Source organism: Homo sapiens, chromosome 17, assembly GCF_000001405.40.
Source record: "Homo sapiens chromosome 17, GRCh38.p14 Primary Assembly".
Taxonomy (NCBI): domain Eukaryota; kingdom Metazoa; phylum Chordata; class Mammalia; order Primates; family Hominidae; genus Homo; species Homo sapiens.
Genome location: NC_000017.11, coordinates 3,517,413 through 3,539,497, shown reverse-complemented (window position 1 = coordinate 3,539,497; position 22,085 = coordinate 3,517,413). Strand labels below are relative to the sequence as shown.

The window sequence follows — 22,085 nt, the reverse complement described above, 5'->3', positions numbered from 1 at the left end:
CTATTTGTTGCAGGGATAGGGTTTCACCATGTTGCCCAGGCTGGTCTGTAACTCCGGGGCTCAAGCAATCCTCCCGCCTCTGCCTCTCAATGATGGGATTATAGGCGTGAGCCACCGCACCCAGCCTAACAACATCCACGTCACATGAATAGAGTTTCATTGTAAAGCAGCCCAGCATTTTACATACTTTTTTTTTTTTTAAGTCCTTTACCCATATACTTTGTGGAGTTTTCTAGGCCTTTGACATTTGTGTGTGTATATGTGCACACAGAAAAAGTTTTATTTATTTAACATAAAATATTATCATACTGTCTGTATTCTACAAGTTGGTTTTTTTGATTAACTATTAACCATATGTCTTGGAGCACTTCTTATGCCAAAATATGAAAGTCTAGCTTCTTTTCACCAGATTCGTCTGCAATTGCGGCTGCACCTTGGCTAATTTCACCACTCCCCCACTGACAGACAGTCAGGTGTTTCCAGCTGTGTTGTGACAATGTCACAGTGCACGATCTTGTCTATGACCCTGTGCACAGGTGCACATATGTTTCAGAAAATATTTTGAATTGGAATATCTGGGTTCAACCGCATGCATATTTAAAGTTATAATAGTGGCCAGGCGCAGTGGCTCATGCCTGTAATCCCAGCACTTTGGGAGGCCAAGGCAGGTGGATCACTTGAGGTCAGGAGTTCCAGACCAGCCTAGCCAACATGGTGAAAACCCATCTCTACTAAAAATACAAAAACTAGTAGGGCGTGGTGGGGCACGCTTGTAATCCCAGCTACTTGGGAGGCTGGGGCAGGAGGATCACTTGAACCTGGGAGGCGGAGGTTGCAGTGAGCCGAGATCGCGCCACTGCACTCCAGCCTGGGCAACAGAGGGAGACTCCATCTCAAAAAAAAAAATTTTTTTTTAAATAAATAAAATAAAGTTATAATAGTTATTGCCAAATTTGTCTCTAAAAGATACTCATTTACTCTCTCCCCACAACGGTGTACAGAAATACTCATTCTCCTACTTATCACTAACACTGCAAATTATCCTTTTTTTTTTTTTTTTGTTCTTTTCCAGTCTGGTGGGTGAAAAGGGTTAACTCTTTAGGTTCTAATTTTCATTTTCCTGACCACCAGTGATTCCAAACATCTTTCACTTTGTTTATTCACTGTGTGTATTTTCTCCTCTGTGAGGTGCTTGTTTATAATCTTTTCTCAGTTTTCTTTTAGACTGTTTGTCTTTCTATTGATTCATAGGCGCTTGTAATATATTATAGACTTTTAAAAACACAATGCCTTTCTATTTTTTTTTTGAGACGGGGTCTTGCTCTATTGCCCAGGCTGGAGTGCAGTGGCATGCTCACTGCAAGCTCCACCTCCCGGGTTCACACCATTCTCCTGCCTCAGCCTCCCGAGTAGCTGGGACTACAGGCACTCACCATCACGCCCGCCTAATTTTTTGTATTTTTAGTAGAGACAGAGTTTCACCAGGTTAGCCAGGATGGTCTCGATCTCCTGACCTCGTGATCTGCCCGCCTCAGCCTCCCAAAGTGCTGGGATTACAGGTGTGAGCCACCGTGCCTGGCATGCCTTTTTTTTTTTTTTTTTTTTAAAAAGACAGAGTCTTGCTCTCTAGCCCAGGCTGGAGTACAGTGGCGCGATCTCTGCCTCCTGAGTTCAAGTGATTCTCCTGCTTCAACCTCCTGAGTAGCTGGGACTACAGGTGCCCGCCACCACACTTGGCTAATTTTTTTGTATTTTCAGTAGAGATGGGGTTTCTCCATGTGGGCCAGGCTGGTCTCGAACTCCTGACCTCAAGTGATCCACCCGCCTCGGCTTCCCAAAGTGCTGGGATTACAGGTGTGAGCTACCGCGCCCGGCCCTAAAACACATTGCCTTTTTATATATCTCAAATATTTTCCCCAGCCTATCACTTGTCTTTAACTTTCATTAGGATGCATTCGGAAATACAGAAATCTCCGAGGTAGGGGGATTGCTTGAGCCCAGGAATTCAAGACCAGCCTGGGCAACACAGCAAGATCCTGTCTCTACAAAAAATTTTAAAAATAAGCCGGGAGTGGTGGTGCAGGCCTGTAGTCCACACGTGTGTGTGTATATATGTACACAGAAATAGTTTTATTTACTTATCTAACATAAAATAGGACCATCACGTCTGTATTCTACAAGTTGCTTTGTTTGATTAACTGTATGTCTTAGAGCATTTCTTATGCCAAATATGAAAGTCTAGCTTTTGGGGGGCTGAGACAGGAGGATCGTTTGAGCCCAGGAGTTCAAGGTTGCAGTGAGCTATGCTCACGCCACTGCACTCCAGCCTGGGTGACACAGCAAGATCCTATGTCAAACATACAAACAAACAAACAAAAAACCAAAAACCCCCAAAACCAAAAACCTTTATGTAAGCAAATATGTCAGCCTTTTCTTTATGGTTTCTGCCTTTTGGATCCTGCTTAAGAAGGTCTTCCCTACCAAAAGGTTAGCTATAAACAAACTTTCTAATGTGTCTTAAAGCTTGGTTCTTTAATCCACCAAGACTATGTTTGTTTATGACACAGCGGCAGCTCTTTGGAAACTGCTGTTTCTGTTGGTGCATTTCGAGACCCTTCCCCCACTCCAGCCTTCTGGTCCCTTCCATCTGGAAGTTCTCTGGTCTCCAGCAGGCTTAGTGTCTCTCCCGCTACCCTTCTTTCCTCTTGCTGTGTCACCAGCGTATCATTCACCCACCGCCAGGGCTGAATACCTAGATCTTACCTGAGACACCCTTCTTCCCAGCCGGGCATCCTGAAGGCTCTTTCTCCAGAGGGTCTTTGGGCTTCCTCCTTTCTCCACCCTTCATGTGCCCTCCAACTCCCCTTAGTCCAGGCCTCATCATTTTTTTGTTTGTTTGTTTGTTTTTTGAGATGGAGTTTCACTCTTCTTGCCCAGGCTGGAGTGCAATGGACCAATCTCGGCTCACTGCAACCTCTGCCTCCTGGGTTCAAGCGATTCTCCTGCCTCAGCCTCCCAAGTAGCTGGGATTACAGGCATGCGCCCCCACGGCCGGCTAATTTTGTATTTTTAGTACAGACCATGTTTCACCATGTTGGTCAGGCTGCTCTCGAACTCCTGACCTCAGGTGATCCACCTGCTTTGGCCTCCCAGTGTGCTGGGATTACAGGCCTCATCATTTCCTTCACTGGTCTCGGCTGCTTCTAACGCATCCTCCACTTTTGCAGCCAGAGAGGTCTGAAAACACCCATGCACCGAGCCCTACATTCTCGTCCTGCCAGTTTCCTAATTCAAGGCCGTCTGTGACTCTGGCCCTTAGCACAAGCTCTGCCCTCTTGCCCTGGCTGATGAGCTGGCCCCACACCGCCTCGCTAAACTTCTGAGGTCCCAGGTTAGAGAGCTCTGGGAAGCCCCCTGACGCTCTCTGGCTGTGAAGGGCCCTTGCTCTGGGTACCGCAGCTCCTGCACCCCTCTGAATCGTAGCACCTCGTTCTCAGTGACACTGCGGGCTTCTTGAGGAAAATAATCGAGATTGCGTCTTGGGCACCCACTGACCCCCAGCGCCTGGGGCCGGAGCCCGGAGCAGGCGCTCCACAAACATTTCTTGGGTCCGCGCAGGCATGAAGGAAGCAAAGAACAAAGCTGGGATTCCTGGTAGCTGGCGACACAGACCAGGGTTCTGATCTCCCCGTGGGTTCGGGGAGGGTATGGAGGCCAGAGCGGGTGGGCAAGAGGCCCCTGTGCCCGGCGCTGAGGCTCCCGCGCGTCCCCGCCCGCTCCGCAGGGCAGACGGCGCTGAACATCGCCATCGAGCGGCGGCAGGGGGACATCGCAGCCCTGCTCATCGCCGCCGGCGCCGACGTCAACGCGCACGCCAAGGGGGCCTTCTTCAACCCCAAGTACCAACACGAAGGCTTCTACTTCGGTGGGTGCCGCCCCCGCCCGGTGCGGAGTCTGGGAGGAGGGAGGAGGGAGACGGGAGAGGAAGGGAGGGAAGGGGAAGGAGGGAAGAAGGGAGGAGGGGGGAAGAAAGAGGGAAGGAGGAAGGAAGTGAGGAGGGAGAGGGAGGAAGGGAGGGGGAAACAGGAAGGAGAGAGGAGGGAGAGGGAGGAGGGAGGAAGGAAGCAGGAAGGATGAGGGAGGAAGGAAGGGAGGAGGGAGAGGAAGGAAGGGAGGAGGGAGAAAGGAAGAGGGAAGCAGGAAGGAGGGAGGAAGGGAGGAGGGAGGAGGGAGAGGGAGGAGGAGTAAGGAGGGGGAGGGAGGGAGGAGGGAGGCAGGAGACAGAAGGGAGAAGGAGGAGGGAGAGGGAGGAAGGGAGGAGGAAGGAGGGCGGAGGGAGAGAAAGGAAGGAAGGAGGGAGGAAGGGAGGGGCCACCCCGCTTTGAGCTCCACCCACACTGTCCCTGCCTTAAGAAGCTCTGGTGCCCCAGAGGGGCAGGAGGGGAGGAGGCTGGGCATGTCCATCTGAGCAGGACACCAGGGTGGACCAGAGAAGGAGGGGCTGGGAGGAGGTGTTGGGGGAGGAGTCCATGTTCCGGTGGTGTCACCTGGTGGTCTTAGAAGCATTGTCCTGGGTAGCTCTCTGAGGGAACAGAGACCTGGGAGGGAGGCTGAGGAGGCAGCCCCATTTTACAGGCGAGGAGATGGCTCTGTGAAGGGAAAGGACTTGCCCCAGGGTAGCAGGGCATTGACTTAGGTGTCCTGGCCTCCAGCTCTGACCTCTGTGCCAGGGCCCAGTGCATCTCAGGACTGCAGACAGGGAGTCGAGAGTGAGAGGGCAGAACTCCCCTGCCTCACAAGTCACAGAGTCCAGAAGCAATTGGGGTTAGGATGCTCTAGGAAAAAAAAAAAAAATTGAAATGCATAATTTAGATATAGTGAAAGTCACCCGTGTTAGAGGACAGTTCTGTTCATTTTCACAGTGCGTCGAGTTGGTTCACCACCACTGCAGTCAGAACAGGGAACAAATGGCTCCGTCACACACAAAAATTTCTCTGTGTAACTTTGTTGCAGAGGAGACCCCTCCTGCCACCCAGTCTTGCCTGACTGATGATCACCCATCTGTTTTCTCTTCTGGGTGTTATTTTTTTTATTTTTATTTTTTTAATGGAGTCTCACTCTGTTGCCCAGGCTGCTGGAGTGCAGTGGTGCCATCTGGCTCACTGCAGCCTCTGCCTCCTGGGTTCAAGCGATTCTCATGCTGCAGCCTCCTGAGTAGCTGGGACTATCTTCTGGGTGGTTTTTTAATCAGCAGGACTAGCTAGTCTGTGCTCTGGGCAGCCCTGCGTGTCCAGGTGTGGGTGTCCTGGAAAACGGGGTCTTGTCCAGTTCATCGTGTGTCCCCATTGCCCTGCATAGGAGCTGGTTGGACCTGGTGTTGGGAAGCATTTGTTGGGTGGGGCGAGGAGAGGGGAGGCAGCTGAAGACCTGGTGTCCGGAGCTGGTCGTGTCCCAGGCTTGCTGTGTGACCTCATGTGAGTCACTTGCCTTATTTTTTCTTAACAAGCATTTATTGAGCACTTACTGTCTACATCAGGCACTGTTCTAGGTACTTGAAATGTATCAGTGAACAAAATAGAGATCCTTGCCCTCATGGAACTTACATTCTAGACAGGGAGAGACCATCGGTAATAAGCACTATAAATAAGAATTTTATATACTATGATATGAAATGATAAGTGCTCTTAAAAAATACAAAGTAGACCGAGTGCAGTGACTCACATCTGTAATCCCAGCACTTTGGGAGGCCAAGGCAGGTGGATCACGAGGTCAGGAGTTCAAGACCATCCTGGCCAACATGGGGAAACCCCATCACTACTAAAAATACAAAAATTAGCCGGGCGTGGTGGCGGGCGCCTGTAGTCCCAGCTACTCAGGAGGCTGAGGCAGGAGAATAGCTTGAACCCGGGAGGCAGAGGTTGCAGTGAGGCGAGATCGCACCACTGCACTCCAGCCTGGCGACAGAGTAGGACTCCATCTCAAAAAAAAAAAAAAAAGTAAAGCAGAGGACAAGGAACCAAGAGTTCTGTCTGGGACAAGAGGAGGGTGGATTTTAATTTTAAATAGAGTGGTTAGGGTGGCTCACTGAAAGGTGACATTTGAGCAAGGACTTGAAGGAGGTGAGGGAGAAAGTGACTGGGCTATCTACAGGCAGAGGGGACAGCCGAGCGAAGGCCCCCAGGCGGCGTGTTGGAGGAGGTGGAAAAAGGCCGTTGTAGCAGGAGGGAGTGAGTGATGGAGAGAGGAGGTCAGAGTATGCAGGGCTTTGTGGGCTGTCATTGGAACCTGTGCTTTCATTCTGGGGGAGGCACTAACAGGTTGGTCTGGCTGCTGTGCTGAGCAGAGTATTAAAGGGCCAGGGTGGAGGCAGGGAGGCCAGTTAGGAGGCTACCGCAGTGATCTAGCTTCACTCTTCCCCGTAGAAGCGGAAGATGGGGAGAGGGCTAGGGAACCTGAGGTGCCCATCCTGCTGAGATAGGATATGGGCCCCAGTCCTGGGGCTTGGGGGACGCTGCTTCCGGCCCATGAGAGAACCAAGCTTCAGTGCGCTCATCCCCCAGGTGAGACGCCCCTGGCCCTGGCAGCATGCACCAACCAGCCCGAGATTGTGCAGCTGCTGATGGAGCACGAGCAGACGGACATCACCTCGCGGGACTCACGAGGCAACAACATCCTTCACGCCCTGGTGACCGTGGCCGAGGACTTCAAGACGCAGAATGACTTTGTGAAGCGCATGTACGACATGATCCTACTGCGGAGTGGCAACTGGGAGCTGGAGACCACTCGCAACAACGATGGCCTCACGCCGCTGCAGCTGGCCGCCAAGATGGGCAAGGCGGAGGTGGGGCCATGGGGCGTGGGGAGGCAGGAGGTCGGGAGGTCAGGAGGTACAGCTGCCACCCTCTCAGCCCCGGGGGCCTTACTGGGGATTCACAAACCACAGCCTCAGCCTTGAGAAGGTCCCAGCCTTGGGTCCAGAACTGCAGTGGCGTGGCGGCCGGAGGCAGGTTTGTTCTGAGGGGCCACGCGGAGCTGGTGCGATGCAGCCCACTCTCTAGACTTCAGTCCCTAATACGCCGCGTTTCCATCTCTTGTCCTGGGAGGGCTAGGCTGGGGGAGCCTGAGGCTGAGGTGACACAATAGCCCCAGCAGTGGGTGGCCCTTGGGGCCTTCTGCCTCTCACGAGGACGGGAGTTCCAGAATGGCTGCTGCGGGCGCAGCGCTAATATGCTGCCATTTCCCAATTATGGGGAGACCCCAGCCTGTTTGTGCGGTTGGAACTCTGTGCCAGGTCCCCAGCCAAGAGTGTGGCCGCTTTGGGCCCTTCTTGCCTTGTGTGATGTGGCTGAGAAATCGAGGCTTGGCTGGGAGCCTTGGTGAAGACTTGAGCAGGGCTGGGCTCAGATCTCTTTCAGGGGCCGGTGTCATGGCTTGGTCTGAGATGTTCTTCTCAGGGGACTGATTCTGGGGTCCAAGCGTGTTCCTCAGCCTCACTGTCTCTACGCTCTGCGAGGAGGCTGTGGCTCCTGGGACGCCATCAGAGGACACTGGGGGGTGGTGACTGTTGAGTAATCGCAGCTGTGCCAGCCTCAGGGTACCCGCCTCCCTGGTCAGCTGCCCCGAGGGCCTTGGTCCTGTCCCAAGTGGTCAGGGCTGGGACCCACAAGGGGCCTTTTGATTCTCCCGTGGGGGAGGAGGAGATGGAGAACGGCTTCAACAGAGGAGGAATTGTGTGTCTGCCTCCCCGCAGCTCCTGCCTACCCTCAGGGTCACAGCTTGCTGGGGCTTTGAAGAGTCAGCTTGTGGTTGCAGAAGGAGCCTTCTCCAAGGCCGTCTTCCCTGTGTGCCACTGTGGCGGGTGCTGTCCCTGCCACCCCAGCCCAGGGAGGAGGCTTCCTGCATGGAGCATGGTCCCAGGACCCCCTTGTTTTCTAGGGGACAGTGTGCCCGCTGTGGCCGGCCCGGGGGAGGCACCTGTCTCCCGCTTCCCTCCTCTGTTCCGTGTCCTCCAGAAAACTTTTCTGGATGCTGCCCAGCTTGGCCACCGTCCTGGGGCTTTTATAGGCTGGGGTGCGGGGCGGAGAGACCTGGCCTTATCCCTAGAAGCTCTCTGCCTGGGCTCTCATGACAGATGGGATGGGAACCCAGTGGGTCTTGTGAGGCCAGGTCTCTGACACTGTCCTTCCCAACAGTCCCTTCCTCTTGGGTCTTGAGTTGGTGTCCTAGGAAGTCCATGTCTCATCCTGGGGTAACCCAGGGCTCAGCTTTTTGGAAGTAGGAAGCCAGAGACAGCAGCTCTGTGTCCAGCCTGCACTTTGGAGCCAACCAGGAAGCTTCACAAATACAGACTCCTGGGTCCCACCCTGGATATTTCGATTTCATCAGTTGATGCTGTGGGAATTTTTGGTTTTTTTGTTTGTTTGTTTTGTTTTGTTTTTTTTGAGACTAGAGTCTCACTTCATTGCCCAGGCTGGAGTGCAGTGGCGCAATCATGGCTCACGGCAACCTCCACCTCCCAGGTTCAAGCGACTCTCCTGCCTCAGCCTCCTGAGTAGCTGGGGTTACAGGCGCCTGCCACCACACCCAGCTAATTTTTGTATTTTTAGTAGAGACAGGATTCCACCATGTTGGCCAGGCTGGTCTCGAACTCCTGACCTCAAATGATCCACCCGCCTCGGCCTCCCAAAGTGCTGGGATTACAGGCGTGAGCTACTGCACCTGGCCATGCTGTGGGAATTTCTAAGTTTCCCAGCAGCCCTAACATGCAGCAGAGTTTGAGGATCACTGGCCTACCGAAGTCCCACGGGCCTCCCTGTAGGGCGTGGTGTCTCTCGTCACCACCTGCCTGGCCAGAGTGGTGAGCCACAGCTGGAGGAGTCTTGGCTTAGGGTGGGCTGGGGACGCTGAGAACACTTCTGGCTTCTTCTCAAGTCCAGAGCAAATGGAAACTGTTTCTAAAAAATCATCAGTGCCTGGATTTTTCACCGAACCGGGTCCCCAGCTGGCGTGAGGCATTTCAAGCTGATTGTGCAGCTTGCTGCAGCCTGCGAAGAACCTTCACACCCTTTGTCCCTGGTATTCACAACCCCCAGTGAGATGGGCGGAACAGCAAGCTTTGTGCGCATTCCACAGATAAAGACGGGGCCCAGGGGCCATGGCGCCAGGCGCAGAGGCAGGTCTCCACCCATTCTGGGCGGGTGTATCCCCTGGGCCCAGCCAGCCTCTGGCTGGTCCAGCCCTGTTGGCCTTAAGCCCCTGTTCTGCAGCTGATGGTTGTTCCTCCTCCTGTCCCAGATCCTGAAGTACATCCTCAGTCGTGAGATCAAGGAGAAGCGGCTCCGGAGCCTGTCCAGGAAGTTCACCGACTGGGCGTACGGACCCGTGTCATCCTCCCTCTACGACCTCACCAACGTGGACACCACCACGGACAACTCAGTGCTGGAAATCACTGTCTACAACACCAACATCGACGTGGGTCTCCTGCACAGGCGGGGAAGGGCAGGGAGAAGAGGGCTGGACCTCAGGCCAGGGGCTGAGAGGACGCTGGGAAGACCCAGTGCTGCCAGCTCCATCCCTCGGCATCTGCATACCCCACTCTGTTGCCTCAGTGAGCAGAGTCAGGCACAGAAAAGGCGAGGCCTGGGACAGATGCTGGGCCCGACTCTTCCTGATTGACCTTGGACTGTAGACCTGAGTGGTGGTGGCGGGGGCGGTGGGCGGGAGGTCTTCTGGACCGAGTATCCAGGGCTGTTTGGGTGTGGGTGTGGGTGATGGGGTGATTGGGGTTGATCCTTTCCATATTGTTTCTCTCCCACCCCCCGTTGGTGTATACGGCCAGGCTTAGAATTCTTTCTTCCCCAAAACCTGGTCCCAAATGAGGGTCAGAGAGTGCACTGAGGAGCAATCGGGGGGCCTTCCTGGAGGAGGCTAGAGGGGAGAGTTCGGTGCAACTGGAGGTGAAGAGAGGAGCAGCTATGAGAGGTGTTCAGCTCTTGGGGGCAGTGAGGCAGCAGGCTGGGTCTTCCTCCTTCATACTTTACTAAGAGTCATGCTTCCCAGAGTCCCCTTGCCTTGGGTCTTCCCAGACCCTCACAGCAGCCTGGTTGGTAGGGCAGGGATTGTTAGCAGTTTTATAGGTGAGGAGTCTGAGGCCCAGAGAGGGTCAGGGTCTGTCCTAAAGTCACACAGCAAAGGAGGAGCAAACTGGGGCTGGAACCCCTGCCACCACCTCCTGCCCGCTTCTATCCTCCACTTTCTGCTGTGCATCGGGTCCTCCTGCTGCAAGCCCGGGCTCCTGCGGCCTCTGACTGCTGCCCTAGTACCCTGGGGAGGAGCCTCAGGAGCCGGAAATCACCCTCCCAGCATTTCCAACCAGACCAGTCCATCGGGCATAATGATGGGCCCCTTCTGCAGCACTGACTCAGAGCTCCCGCAGGCCTTTAGAAAACGGTCCCTCCCTCTCTCCCTCATCTCCATGGTGACTGGTGGCATTCTACCCCTAGAACCGGCATGAGATGCTGACCCTGGAGCCGCTGCACACGCTGCTGCATATGAAGTGGAAGAAGTTTGCCAAGCACATGTTCTTTCTGTCCTTCTGCTTTTATTTCTTCTACAACATCACCCTGACCCTCGTCTCGTACTACCGCCCCCGGGAGGAGGAGGTACGTGGGCCCCTTGGAGGGGGAAAATGGGGCCGTCAGAGCTGGAGGGGCTTGGAGCTGCCCCACGTGCAGGTGGGAAAACTGAGGCCCAGAGAGACCAGGAGATTGGGCGGGGTCCCCCAGTTGTCCTTCACGCTTCCCAGGGAACTGAATATGTCTTCAGTGCTTAGCCTGGGCTAAGCCCCAGGTGCCGAGTCCCAAGGGCAGACCCTTGCTGGGAGGAAAGTTGGAGAATTCGGAGACTCAGGCCCTGCACAGGGTCTCTGTCTGTAAATATAGAACTAGCTGGGTGTTTCTGCTGTGAGGGCTGCAGGAAACGGGAGGAGGATAAGCTCTCCCTGCCTGCTGGGCTTCGGTTTCCCATGCGTCACGTGGGGCACAGAGCCTCGGCTTTATTTAACGGTGCTGTGAGGCCATGTTGAGTGCCTGGATATGGATGGGTTCCGGAAAGGCTATTGCAATGGAGTGTGAGGGTTGTTAGCACGGATTGGATGATATTCTTCGTTGTAGAGTTCTGGGTTTCCATCAAGGGTGAGGAGAGTTGGGGTCAGGGAGCTGCTCTTCCTTCTCTTGCCCTGTACAGAGATCAGGTTTCATGCTGGTCTCTGGCCCGGCTTGAGTGTTTCACCTGGGTTTTGGTCCCTCTAGAGTTGGTGCCAGCCCTGTCCTCCTTGCTTCCTATACTGACCACCCCTCTTCTTTCCCTGCAGGCCATCCCGCACCCCTTGGCCCTGACGCACAAGATGGGGTGGCTGCAGCTCCTAGGGAGGATGTTTGTGCTCATCTGGGCCATGTGCATCTCTGTGAAAGAGGTAAGTGGGCCACCCGGCCCTTCCAGACCGCCCCGCGAGGCAGGCAGGTGACAGCCTCCATCCCTCTCTGCTCTGCCATTACTGCTGGGGGGTTCTGGGGAGGCGTTTCCTTCCCAAGCCTTACCTTTCTGAGTTATAACATGGGAAAAAATGGATAAGGCTGGCCTATCCTACCTACTTCATCCATCTACTTCTCTATCCATCTGCCCAACTATCCGCCATTTATCTACCTTCCCAGCCACTCAGTGTCCCTTGTCCTCTTCCACCCCCATCCACCCATCCGATCACCTGCCCTCTTTCATGGACCCAGCCACTCATTCATCCATTCACATGTCCACTCATCCTTACCGACCATCCTTCTATCCTTTATCCAACCATCTTTCCATCTCTCCATCTGTCCATCCGTCCATCCATCCATCCATCCATCCATCCTTCCATCCATCCAATGAATCAACACATATAATCTGAGCACCTTCTATATATGTGTGGCCCTGGAGGAGGTGACAGGGTTGGGACGAGTTTGCCCTCTTTGAATTCACAGCCTGGTTGGGGACATAGCATAGGCATAAATATCAAGACTTTATGATAGACCGAAAAAGACCCTAAGCTGGGTTCAGATCAGTGTTCAGAGGAAGGGAGGTGACTTTTATCTGGGGACAGGGAATGGTAGAGATGCTTGAAGGCAGAGATGGCACTTACTCTGGTGGGGTAGGATTGGGCACGAGGACGATGAGGACAAGGTCATTACAGGGTGGATATGGGGAACAGCATGAGCAAAGGCTCGGAGGCTGGAACGCTAGGCTGGATGTGGGGAATGGAAGGCGGCTGTAGTGGTAGTACCGCTTTGCAGGTTCTGGGGTGAGGATGGGGTAAGGAGTGAGGGAGGTGAGAAGATTTGAGGGAGCGTTCACCTTCACCGTGGAGGTGCCTACGCCCCCCAGGCACAGGTCCCCTTTCAGATCCGCCACCTGGACTCTAGCTGGGCCTTTGTGCATTCAACCCTCACTGAGTCTTGGTCCTGGGGAAGCACCCTCTGCTCAGCTCCCCTGCTGAGGGCCATGAAGAGGGTGCACTGTTTCTTTCCTTCCTGGCCTTAGGGCATTGCCATCTTCCTGCTGAGACCCTCGGATCTGCAGTCCATCCTCTCGGATGCCTGGTTCCACTTTGTCTTGTAAGTAGGTCTGGCCCCTTGGTTATCGCCTCACAGGCAGGGTTGACGTCCTGTATGGTGGCTGCCGTGTCCGCCTCTTGAACAAATATCCTACTGTGCCACGGTGTCCCAGTCACTCTGCCATGGTTACACGCCAGGGGTCTCCTCTCTTCCTCCTAGTAGGAGACACGTAAATGCCCATGGAGAAGGTCAGAAAACTTCAGGGCTGTGGGGCCCAGTGGCTCACGCCTGTAATTCCAGCACTCTGGGAGGCTGAGATGGTGGTGATGGCCAACTCTACCCATCACAGAGCCCCACGTGGAAGGCAGCATGGAGTGGAGAAGGCGGCAACAGGCTTAGCAGTCCTGTTTACGTTGTTGTTTTTTTTTTTTAGTTGAGGTGGAGTTTTACTCTTGTTGCCCAGGCTGGAGTGCAGTGGCGTGACCTCGGCTCACTGCAACCTCCACCTCCCAGGTTCAAGCGATTCTCCTGCCTCAGCCTCCTGAGTAGCTGGGATTACAGACGTGCACCATCACACCTGGCTCCTTTTTGTATTTTTAGTAGAGACAGGGTTTCGCCATGTTGGTCAGGCTGGTCTTGAACTCCTGACCTCAAGTGATCTGCCCACCTCAGCCTTGCAGAGTGCTGGGATTCCAGGTGTGAGCTCCTGCGCCGGCCTCTTCTGCTTCTTATTTGTTTTGTTAGTGTGGAGGGAGACATTCTTCATTTCAGTCTAAAATGCAGTTGATGAATTAGATGGTTTTTCTTACAATCGTGCCTGTGTTGTGACTTTGGTTAGCTATTTTATAATTTTGGAAACTGTCTGATGTTATAAGACAGTGTTTTTATCCAGATGTCTGCATAATGGATGTTATGCAGATGTCTGCATGTGACTGTGTAGGAGTAGATATTGATTTTGTATGTTTGCGATATATTATACTTAAAAACATTTTAACTGTGGGCCGGGCACGATGGGTCATGCTTGTAATCCCAGCACTTTGGTGGGCCAAGGTGGGCCTATCATCTGAGGTCAGGAGTTTGAGACCAGTCTGGTGAAATCCCCTCTCTCTACAAAAAATACAAAAATTAGCCTTGTGTGTGGTGGCATGCACCTGTAATCCCAGCTACTCTGGAGGCTGAGGCAGGAGAATTGCTTGAACCAGGGAGGCGGAGGCTGCAGTGAGCCGAGATCATGCCACTGTACTCCAGCCTGGGCGACAGAGTGAGACTACATCTCAAAAAAAAAAAAAAAATTAATTGTGGTAAAATACACATAGCATAAAAGTTAGCATTGCACCCATTTTTTAAGCGTAGAAATCAATACTGTGAAGTACATTCATGTTGTTGGGCAATCAGTCTTTAGAACTGTTTTCGTCCTGTAAAACTCAAACTCCATACCCCTTAAACAACAGCCCCTATTCCTCTCCTTTCCCGGCCCCCTGTAACCACCATTCTTCCATCTTTCTCTGTGAATTGGACTATTTTAGGTACAGTCATATAGTGGAGTCACCTATCTTATTTCACTTAGCATACATCATACTTTAAAAAGATTTAATGCTGGGCGCGTTGGCTCACGCCTGTAATCCCAGCACTTTGGGAGGCCGAGGTGGGTGGATCACCTGAGGTCAGAAGTTCGAGACCAGCCTGGCCAACATGGTGAAACCCCATCTCTACTAAAAATACAAAAATGAGCCTGGTGTGGTGGCGGGTGCCTGTAATCCCAGCTACTAGGGAGGCTGAGGCAGGAGAATCACTTGAGCCTGGGAGGCGGAGGTTGCAGTGAGCAGAGTTCATGCCACTGTACTCCAGCCTAGGTGACAGAGCAAGACCCTGTCTCTGCCCCCCTGACCCCCCCAAAAAACACCACGATTTAAAAAGTAGGGTTTGGGGGACTTTTGCTATGATTGGCTTTTAAGTATAGATATTGGCAGTTTTTGTCATTTTGGTTAAAAATACAATCATTTACCACATCTTTGGTCTACTCCAGTAGTTCTCAAATCGATGCAGGAGTCAGAAATTATGTGGGTGATTTAGATTATTTTTCTTTTCTTTTTTTTTTTTTTTTTGTAGAGACAAGGTCTCACTATGTCACTCAGGCTGGTCCTGAACTCCTGGCCTGAAGCGTTTCTCCTATCTCAGCCCCCCAAAGTGTTGGGATTACAGGCGAAAGCCACTACACCAGGCCCGTGTGGGTAATTTAAAAAATATATGGCCTCCCGGGCAGTACCCTAGAATCTTCTGCGGCCCTGTGGATGTGTGTTTTTTCTTTTTTTAAAGTCCCCACCAGCTGCAATCAGCTTACCACAGGCTGTGAGTGGCATCTGGTGATGTCTCTACAGGCTGAATTCTATGGTAGCCAAATGGATCTGAGGCAGCGTGATTCTGGTCTCTTCAGCATCCGTCACCGGGGTGACTGTTCAGGGGGTTTAAGGGAGGTTTGGGGGATTTGCATATCTTTGCCCTGATGCTGAGAAGTAAGTAAGGCCCGTGTCTCCTGTGTCTCCTGAACAGTTTTATCCAAGCTGTGCTTGTGATACTGTCTGTCTTCTTGTACTTGTTTGCCTACAAAGAGTACCTCGCCTGCCTCGTGCTGGCCATGGCCCTGGGCTGGGCGAACATGCTCTACTATACGCGGGGTTTCCAGTCCATGGGCATGTACAGCGTCATGATCCAGAAGGTGCGTTGAGAGCTGCGCCGGCGGGAGGGCCCTCGGAGGATGGCCATTTTTCAGATGGGGAAACTGAGATCTGGAGAGGAAGAGGGGTTTACCAAGGGGCAGGTCACTGCTCTTTCTCCCAAATGCCATGCACTCCCTTTGCTTTCGGCCAGGCTTTAAGTGTCAAGACCTTAAATCCCCCAGGCTTGTGGGGTGCTGGGGAGGGGTACAGTTTGTGGAGGAATGTTCTCACCCCTGGGCAGTGGCGTGCTGGTAAACATTTAACGACTGTTCTGTGTGTGTGTGTGTGTATGTGTGTGTGTGTAGGTGGAATATGTATATTCCATATATATACACAAAAGACTTATCATACATTTTACTATATAAACGATGTGTATCACACAATTTGCAAATAATGAAAATATACCATGCAGTTTATTGTAAATTCCACATAGCCAGTTGAGTCTCAGAATAATTTGTTGCTTTTTTTTTTTTTTTTTGGAGACCAAGTCTTGCTCTGCTGCCCAGGCCAGAGTAAAGTGGTGCGATCTCGGCTCCCTGCAACCTCTGCCTCCTGGGTTCAAGCAGTTCTCCTGCCTCAGCCTCCAGAGTAGCTGGGATCACAGGCACGCACCACCATGTTGGCTAATTTTTGTATTTTTAGTAGAGACAGGGTTTCAGCATGTTGGCCAGGATTGTCTTGAACTCCTGACCTCAGGTGATCCACCTGCCTCGGCCTCCCAAAGTGCTGGGATTACAGGCATGAACCACCGCGCCAGGCCTATTTGTTGCTTTTTATTGAATTCTAGTTTTTGTTGTCAACTTTTGGTTGCAATTGACAAAAGAGTGCTATCAGACATGAATGTTGGTTGAGAGTTTTCTTTATAAGCAGTGATTGAAGTGAAACAATTAAGATTTATGTTGAACTTTACTTGTTTATCAATGATGTGAGCAACTTCTTTGCTGAATTGGATACTAGTTTGCAAATACCAGAATAATATTCTGTTGATATTTTTGTGCTATACATAATGTAAAGGCTGCAGACAGAACACATTTTAAAATTTAAACTGGATTAATAGTTTCTCCATCACTGTCTTAAATCATTTAGATCTAGATATCAACAAAACAATGAGTCAATCAATCTCTGATTTGTGGCATTTACCAATTTTCATGATGTAAATACAGTAGTCCCCCCTTATTCTTGGGGGAGATGTTCTAAGACCCCCCATGAATGCCTGAAACTGCAGATAGTACCAAACATTATATAATATGCTATGTTTTTTCCTATACATATACATCTATGCAAATAATGAAAATATACTATACAATACAGTTTATTGTAAATTCCACTTAGCCAGTTGAGTCTTAGAATAATTTTTGCTTTTTTTTTTTTTTTTTGTTTGTGACTGAGTCTCGCTCTGTTGCCCAGGCTGGAGTGCAATAGTGCAATCTCGGCTCACTGCAACCTCTGCCTCCCGGGCTCAAGCAATTCTCCCGCCCCAGCCTCCTGAGTAGCTGGGACTACAGGCATGCACCATGCCCAGCTAATTTTTGTATTTTTAGTAGAGATGGGGTTTCGCCATGTTGGCCAGGCTGGTCTCCAACTCTTGACCTCAGGTGATCCGTCCGCCTCGGCCTCCCAAAGTGCTGGGGGGTGGGGGGGGGAATCAACAAATTATTCTAAGACTCAACTGGCTATGTGGAATTTATAAAATTTATTTTATCAATTAGGCATAGTGAGATTAATGGCAATAACTAACAGAACAATGATAACAATATACTGTAATAAAAGTATGTGAATGTTGTCTCTCTCAGAATATTGTATTGTGTGTAATATTTCTGGGTCATAGTTGACCACAGGCAACCAAAACTGCAGAAAGTGAAATCGAAGAGAAGGGCGGACTACTGTTCTCCTCTCAGGGCCAATTTCCAGCTACCAACATTATGTTACTGGACATAGAGTTAGGGAGAAACATGCAGATCCACATCGCTCTAGAATTCCTGCCATATGGCTATGATAGAGACAAGTAACCTCAAAAGCACACACAATTGTAAATATAGTGAAATAACTGGACGGGGATGAGTTTTGAACATTTATTGTCTTTGTTTTATTTAATTAAATTAATTAATTAATTAATTTTTTGAGACAGAGTCTGGCTCTGCCCCCCAGGCTGGAGTGCAGTGGTGCGATCTAGGCTCACTGCAACCCCTTCCTCCTGGGTTCAAGCAATTCTCCCGCCTCAGCCTCTGGAGTAGCTGGGATCACAGGTGTGTGCCACCACACCCAGCTAATTTTTGTATTTTTAGTAGAGACGGGGTTTCGCCATGTTGGCCAAGCTGGCCTCCAACTCCTGACCTCAGGCGATCCACCCACCTCAGCCTCTCAAAGTGTTGGGATTACAGGCGTGAGTCACTGCACCCTGGCCTGTCTTTGTTTTAAATATAACTTATTTTATTTAATTGTAAGTTTATATGGTTTAATTTTTTGGCAATACAAATAATAATTTCTTTACCCCCAGCTTTATTGAGGTACAGCTGACATATATAATTGTATAAATTTAAGATGTACAATGTGAGGATTTGATATAGGTATATATTGTGAAATGATTTCCAATTTCCAATTAACACACCCATCACCTCACATAGTTGCCATTTCTTTGTGTGTGGTGAGAACATTTATGATCTATTCTCTTAGCAAATTTCTAGTACACAACACGGTATTGTTCACTATAGTCATCATGCTGTCCATTAGATCCCCAGAACTTATTCATCTTATTCATTGATTTAGTTCTGAATAATGGCTGTGTTTAACAACCAGCTCACAAGCTTCATGAGAATTTAACGATCAGCTCTTGCGAGCTCTTCTGAGCTGGCTCCAGCATGCCACTGCCCCCAGCAAGTGTGAGGATTCCAGTGTGAGACCCTATGGTGAAAGGTACAGGGTGAATCACAGGGAGAAGAGAACCTGGGGCTGGAGCAGAAACAGAAGGCTTCCTGGAGGAGGCAGGATCCAGTGTTGAGCCTTGGAGCATCAGGAGGATTTGGCTGGGGGAAGGGAGAGTGGCCCAAGTGAAGAGACAGTTAGGGTGGGGGGTGGGAGAGGGTGGGAAGCAGGAAGATCAGGGTGCCGTGAATATGTGCTTGCACCTTACACTTGAATTATGTTTATTTCCTTATAGGTCATTTTGCATGATGTTCTGAAGTTCTTGTTTGTATATATCGTGTTTTTGCTTGGATTTGGAGTAGGTAATTGATTTATAAATAATAGTAACTCCCACATTTATAAACACTTTATACAGATGTCAAAATGGCAAAGTGCATGGCGGCCTTGGCAACAATTAGACCAACTACCAGTGGGGCACTTGCCATGCTTGGCATTTTCCAAGCATTACCTTTATATATATACATATATATTTTATTATACTTTAAGTTCTAGGGTACATGTGCACAACATGCAGGTTTGTTACATATGTATACATGTGCCATGTTGGTATGCTGCACCCATTAACTCGTCATTTACATTAGGTATATCTCCTAATCAAGCATTACCTTTTTACTTCTCTCAACAACTTGATCAAGTGGGAATCATCACCCCGATCATAAGGTAACTGAGGCTTAGAGACTCCAGGATTCAAACCAGGCCAGCCACTCATAATCCAACTTCACCATGTGGTATATACCTCTGGCTTTCCCATTCATTGCTTACGTGGCCCTCACGACCTAAGATAGGTTCTGCAAGTGTTTTCAGCCCCATTTTAACAGATGCGGAAACTAAAGTCCACAGAAACTCAACTGATGGTCTTTGCAAAGTAGGAGCAAACTAATACCCTGAGGTGATTTCCTTTGGATTTCACATCACGTTACTCTCACAGTTTGCTTTAGATACAACTGTGAGAGCCTCTCTGGTCTGCTGGGACCAGGAAGGAGCCCCCTCTTAAAATCTCTCCATTTACAACAGAGGGAACAGCACGATCTGGTTGTATTTCTAACCTCTGCATAGAGAGATATCATTTTCCCCCACGTACCAGTTGCTTTTTTTTCTTTTCTTCAGTGACCATTGACATTTGAAATTAAGTAGCTGTTTCCATCTGTCTGGTACCTTTTCTGGGTCACAATTTGCTTATTTATTTGCTCCTTCACCTGCTTGTTTATTCATCCATCTATTTACTCTCTCATTTAATTTGCTCATCCACCTGTCTATCCGTCCATCCATCCATCCATCCATCCATCCATCCATCCATCCAATCATTCATCCATCGATCCATCCATTGATCTATCCATCTATCCATCCATCCATCCATCCATCCATCCATCTAATCATCCATCCAATCATCCATCCATCCATCCATCCATCCATCCATCCATCCAGTCATCCATCCATTCATCCATTTAATCATCCATCCATCGATCAATCGGTCCATCCATCCAGCTATCCATCCATCCATCCATCCATCTAATCATTCATCCATCAATCCATCCATCCATCCATCCATCCATCCATCCATCCATCCATCTATCCATCCATCCAATCATCCATCCATCCATCGATCAATCAGTCCATCCATCCATCTAATCATCCATCTAATCATCCATCCATCCATCCATCCATCCATCCAGTCATCCATCCATTCATCCATTTAATCATCCATCCATCCATCGATCAATTGGTCCATCCATCCATCTATCCATCCATCCATCCATCCATCTAATCACCCATCCATCCATCCATCCATCCAATCATCTATCCATCCATCCATCTAATCATCTATCCATCCATCCATCCATCCATCCATCCAATCATCCATCCATCCATCCATCCATCCCTCCATCTAATCATCCATCCCTCCATCCATCCCTCCATATCCATCCATCCATCCATCCATCCATCCATCCAACCATTCAGCAGTGAACCTCTACTGTGGTGTGTTGGAAAGAAGGGAAGTGTGAGCCTGGTCTTGCTCACAGGGAACTCAAAACAGAGCATTAGGAGGAGACTCAGGATCTTACAGCCTTGAGGGAGGTGACCCAGGCTAGAGGAAGTCAGGAGCTCAAAGACTAGCTGGGGAGCCAGGGACACACACATGGATTATAATTAGTGGCTCTGCAAGGCTGCAAGTGATCAAGGGCAGACTGCGGGGTAAAGGAAGGAGAGAAGACTCTGGGCTTTGTTAGGTGGAAGGGCTTTCTGCAGGAGGCCAGGCCAGAGAAGCCAGCCTGATGAGGCTTTGAGAGGACCTGAAACTGGAGATGGGATTTAATGGCCAGAGAGAAGGAGGCAGCAGGCTTGTCATGTAGGCAAATACACGCAAGCTTGTAGAGTAATTACCAGGCAGAGAGCTGAGGAGAGCACCCTGTTATGTTCCCTTAGCCTTGGCCTCGCTGATCGAGAAGTGTCCCAAAGACAACAAGGACTGCAGCTCCTACGGCAGCTTCAGCGACGCAGTGCTGGAACTCTTCAAGCTCACCATAGGCCTGGGTGACCTGAACATCCAGCAGAACTCCAAGTATCCCATTCTCTTTCTGTTCCTGCTCATCACCTATGTCATCCTCACCTTTGTTCTCCTCCTCAACATGCTCATTGCTCTGATGGGCGAGACTGTGGAGAACGTCTCCAAGGAGAGCGAACGCATCTGGCGCCTGCAGGTGAGCCTAGGTGGAGACCCCAGCGTGGGGGCCTCCACGGGACTCAGTTCAGCACGTGGTCATTGACTACTGTCAGCACCAGTGGGTCTGAGGTGGGGCCTGAGAATCTGCACAAGCTCCTCAGTGTGTGGCCAGGTTTGAGGAGGCCTTAGCCTAGGTTCTTTGAGTGTAGGGTCTAGGGAGTGTGGCTGTGCAACAGAATGTGTAGAAAAACTCAGGCTCATGGGGGTGCTCTGCTCAGGGTTGACAGTGTGATGTGTGGATGTTGAAGTTTGACCTTAGGTTGCATTAAGAGGAGTACAGCGTCTAGGACAGTGGAGGTGACAGTTCTGCTCTATTCTATCCTGGCCTGAACACTTCTTACATGCTGAGGAAACCAATGCATAGGATGGGTTCAGAGGTGGTAACCAGGTTTGGGAGAGGACTGGAGACTGCCTCTTAAGAAATGGTGGTTGGCGGCCGGGCATGGTGGCTCACCCCTGTAATCTTAGCACTTTGGAAGGCCGAAGCGGGTGGATCACCTGAGGTCAAGAGTTCGAGCCCAGCTTGGCCAACATGGTGAAACCTCATCGCTACTAAAAATACAAAAGCTAGCCAGGTGTGTTAGTACGCACCTGTAATCCCAGCTACTTGGGAGGCTGAGGCAGGAGGATCGCTTGAACCCAGGAGGTGGAGGTTGCAGCGAGTTGAGATTGTGTCATGGCACTGCAGCCTGGGTGACAGAGCAAAAACTCTGTCTCAAAAATAGAAAAAAAAAAAAAAAAAGAAATGCTCATTGGAAAAAGGTGAGCGTGCCTTTGGATATCTGCAGAACAACCTATGAAAGAGGGAGCAGATCCCTTCTGTGGTCCTGGAAGGCAGATGTACATGGGGTTACTACAGGGAGAAAAGCTTTGATGTCACACATGGAAGTTTCTCTTTATTAAGGCCCTCCTTTTTTTTTTTTTTTTTTTTTTGAGACAGGGTCTTGCTCTGTTGCCCAGGCTGGAGTGCAGTGGCACGATTATCAGCTCACTGCAAACTCTGCCTCCCGGGCTCAAGTGATTCTCCCACCTCAGCCTCCCAAGTAGCTGGGATTACAGGCACGCGCCACCACACCTGGGTCATTTTTGTATTTTTTGTAGAGATGGGGTTTCACCATGTTGCCTAGGCTGGCCGCTTAC

General features: G+C 50.5%; 1 protein-coding gene across 2 annotated transcripts in view, besides 3 other annotated features; it reads left to right on the top strand.

Annotated features, from left to right (window-relative positions):
* The window catches only part of TRPV3 (transient receptor potential cation channel subfamily V member 3), a 47,311-nt gene that overhangs the window by 18,315 nt on the left and 6,911 nt on the right, over positions 1–22,085 (top strand). For both annotated transcript variants that reach the window (NM_145068.4, NM_001258205.2), the window contains exons 7-15: positions 3,785–3,925; positions 6,561–6,841; positions 9,295–9,471; positions 10,503–10,661; positions 11,372–11,473; positions 12,571–12,644; positions 15,135–15,300; positions 18,459–18,525; positions 20,648–20,922. In NM_145068.4, the coding sequence (NP_659505.1) occupies positions 3,785–3,925; positions 6,561–6,841; positions 9,295–9,471; positions 10,503–10,661; positions 11,372–11,473; positions 12,571–12,644; positions 15,135–15,300; positions 18,459–18,525; positions 20,648–20,922 (1,442 nt within the window). The remainder of the gene's footprint in view (positions 1–3,784; positions 3,926–6,560; positions 6,842–9,294; positions 9,472–10,502; positions 10,662–11,371; positions 11,474–12,570; positions 12,645–15,134; positions 15,301–18,458; positions 18,526–20,647; positions 20,923–22,085) is intronic.
* Positions 3,700–3,749: a silencer, noted in NCBI's record as "silent region_8012". NCBI's record gives its function as "represses an Ori minimal core promoter by ATAC-STARR-seq in GM12878 lymphoblastoid cells {active_cell/tissue: GM12878}" and the evidence as "EXISTENCE:reporter gene assay evidence [ECO:0000049][PMID:35858748]".
* Positions 10,973–11,893: an enhancer, noted in NCBI's record as "H3K4me1 hESC enhancer chr17:3430899-3431819 (GRCh37/hg19 assembly coordinates)". NCBI's record gives its function as "activates a minimal SCP1, AML or CMV promoter by ChIP-STARR-seq in naive H9 embryonic stem cells {active_cell/tissue: H9 hESC(naive)}" and the evidence as "EXISTENCE:reporter gene assay evidence [ECO:0000049][PMID:30033119]".
* Positions 14,784–15,283: an enhancer, noted in NCBI's record as "H3K4me1 hESC enhancer chr17:3427509-3428008 (GRCh37/hg19 assembly coordinates)". NCBI's record gives its function as "activates a minimal SCP1, AML or CMV promoter by ChIP-STARR-seq in naive H9 embryonic stem cells {active_cell/tissue: H9 hESC(naive)}" and the evidence as "EXISTENCE:reporter gene assay evidence [ECO:0000049][PMID:30033119]".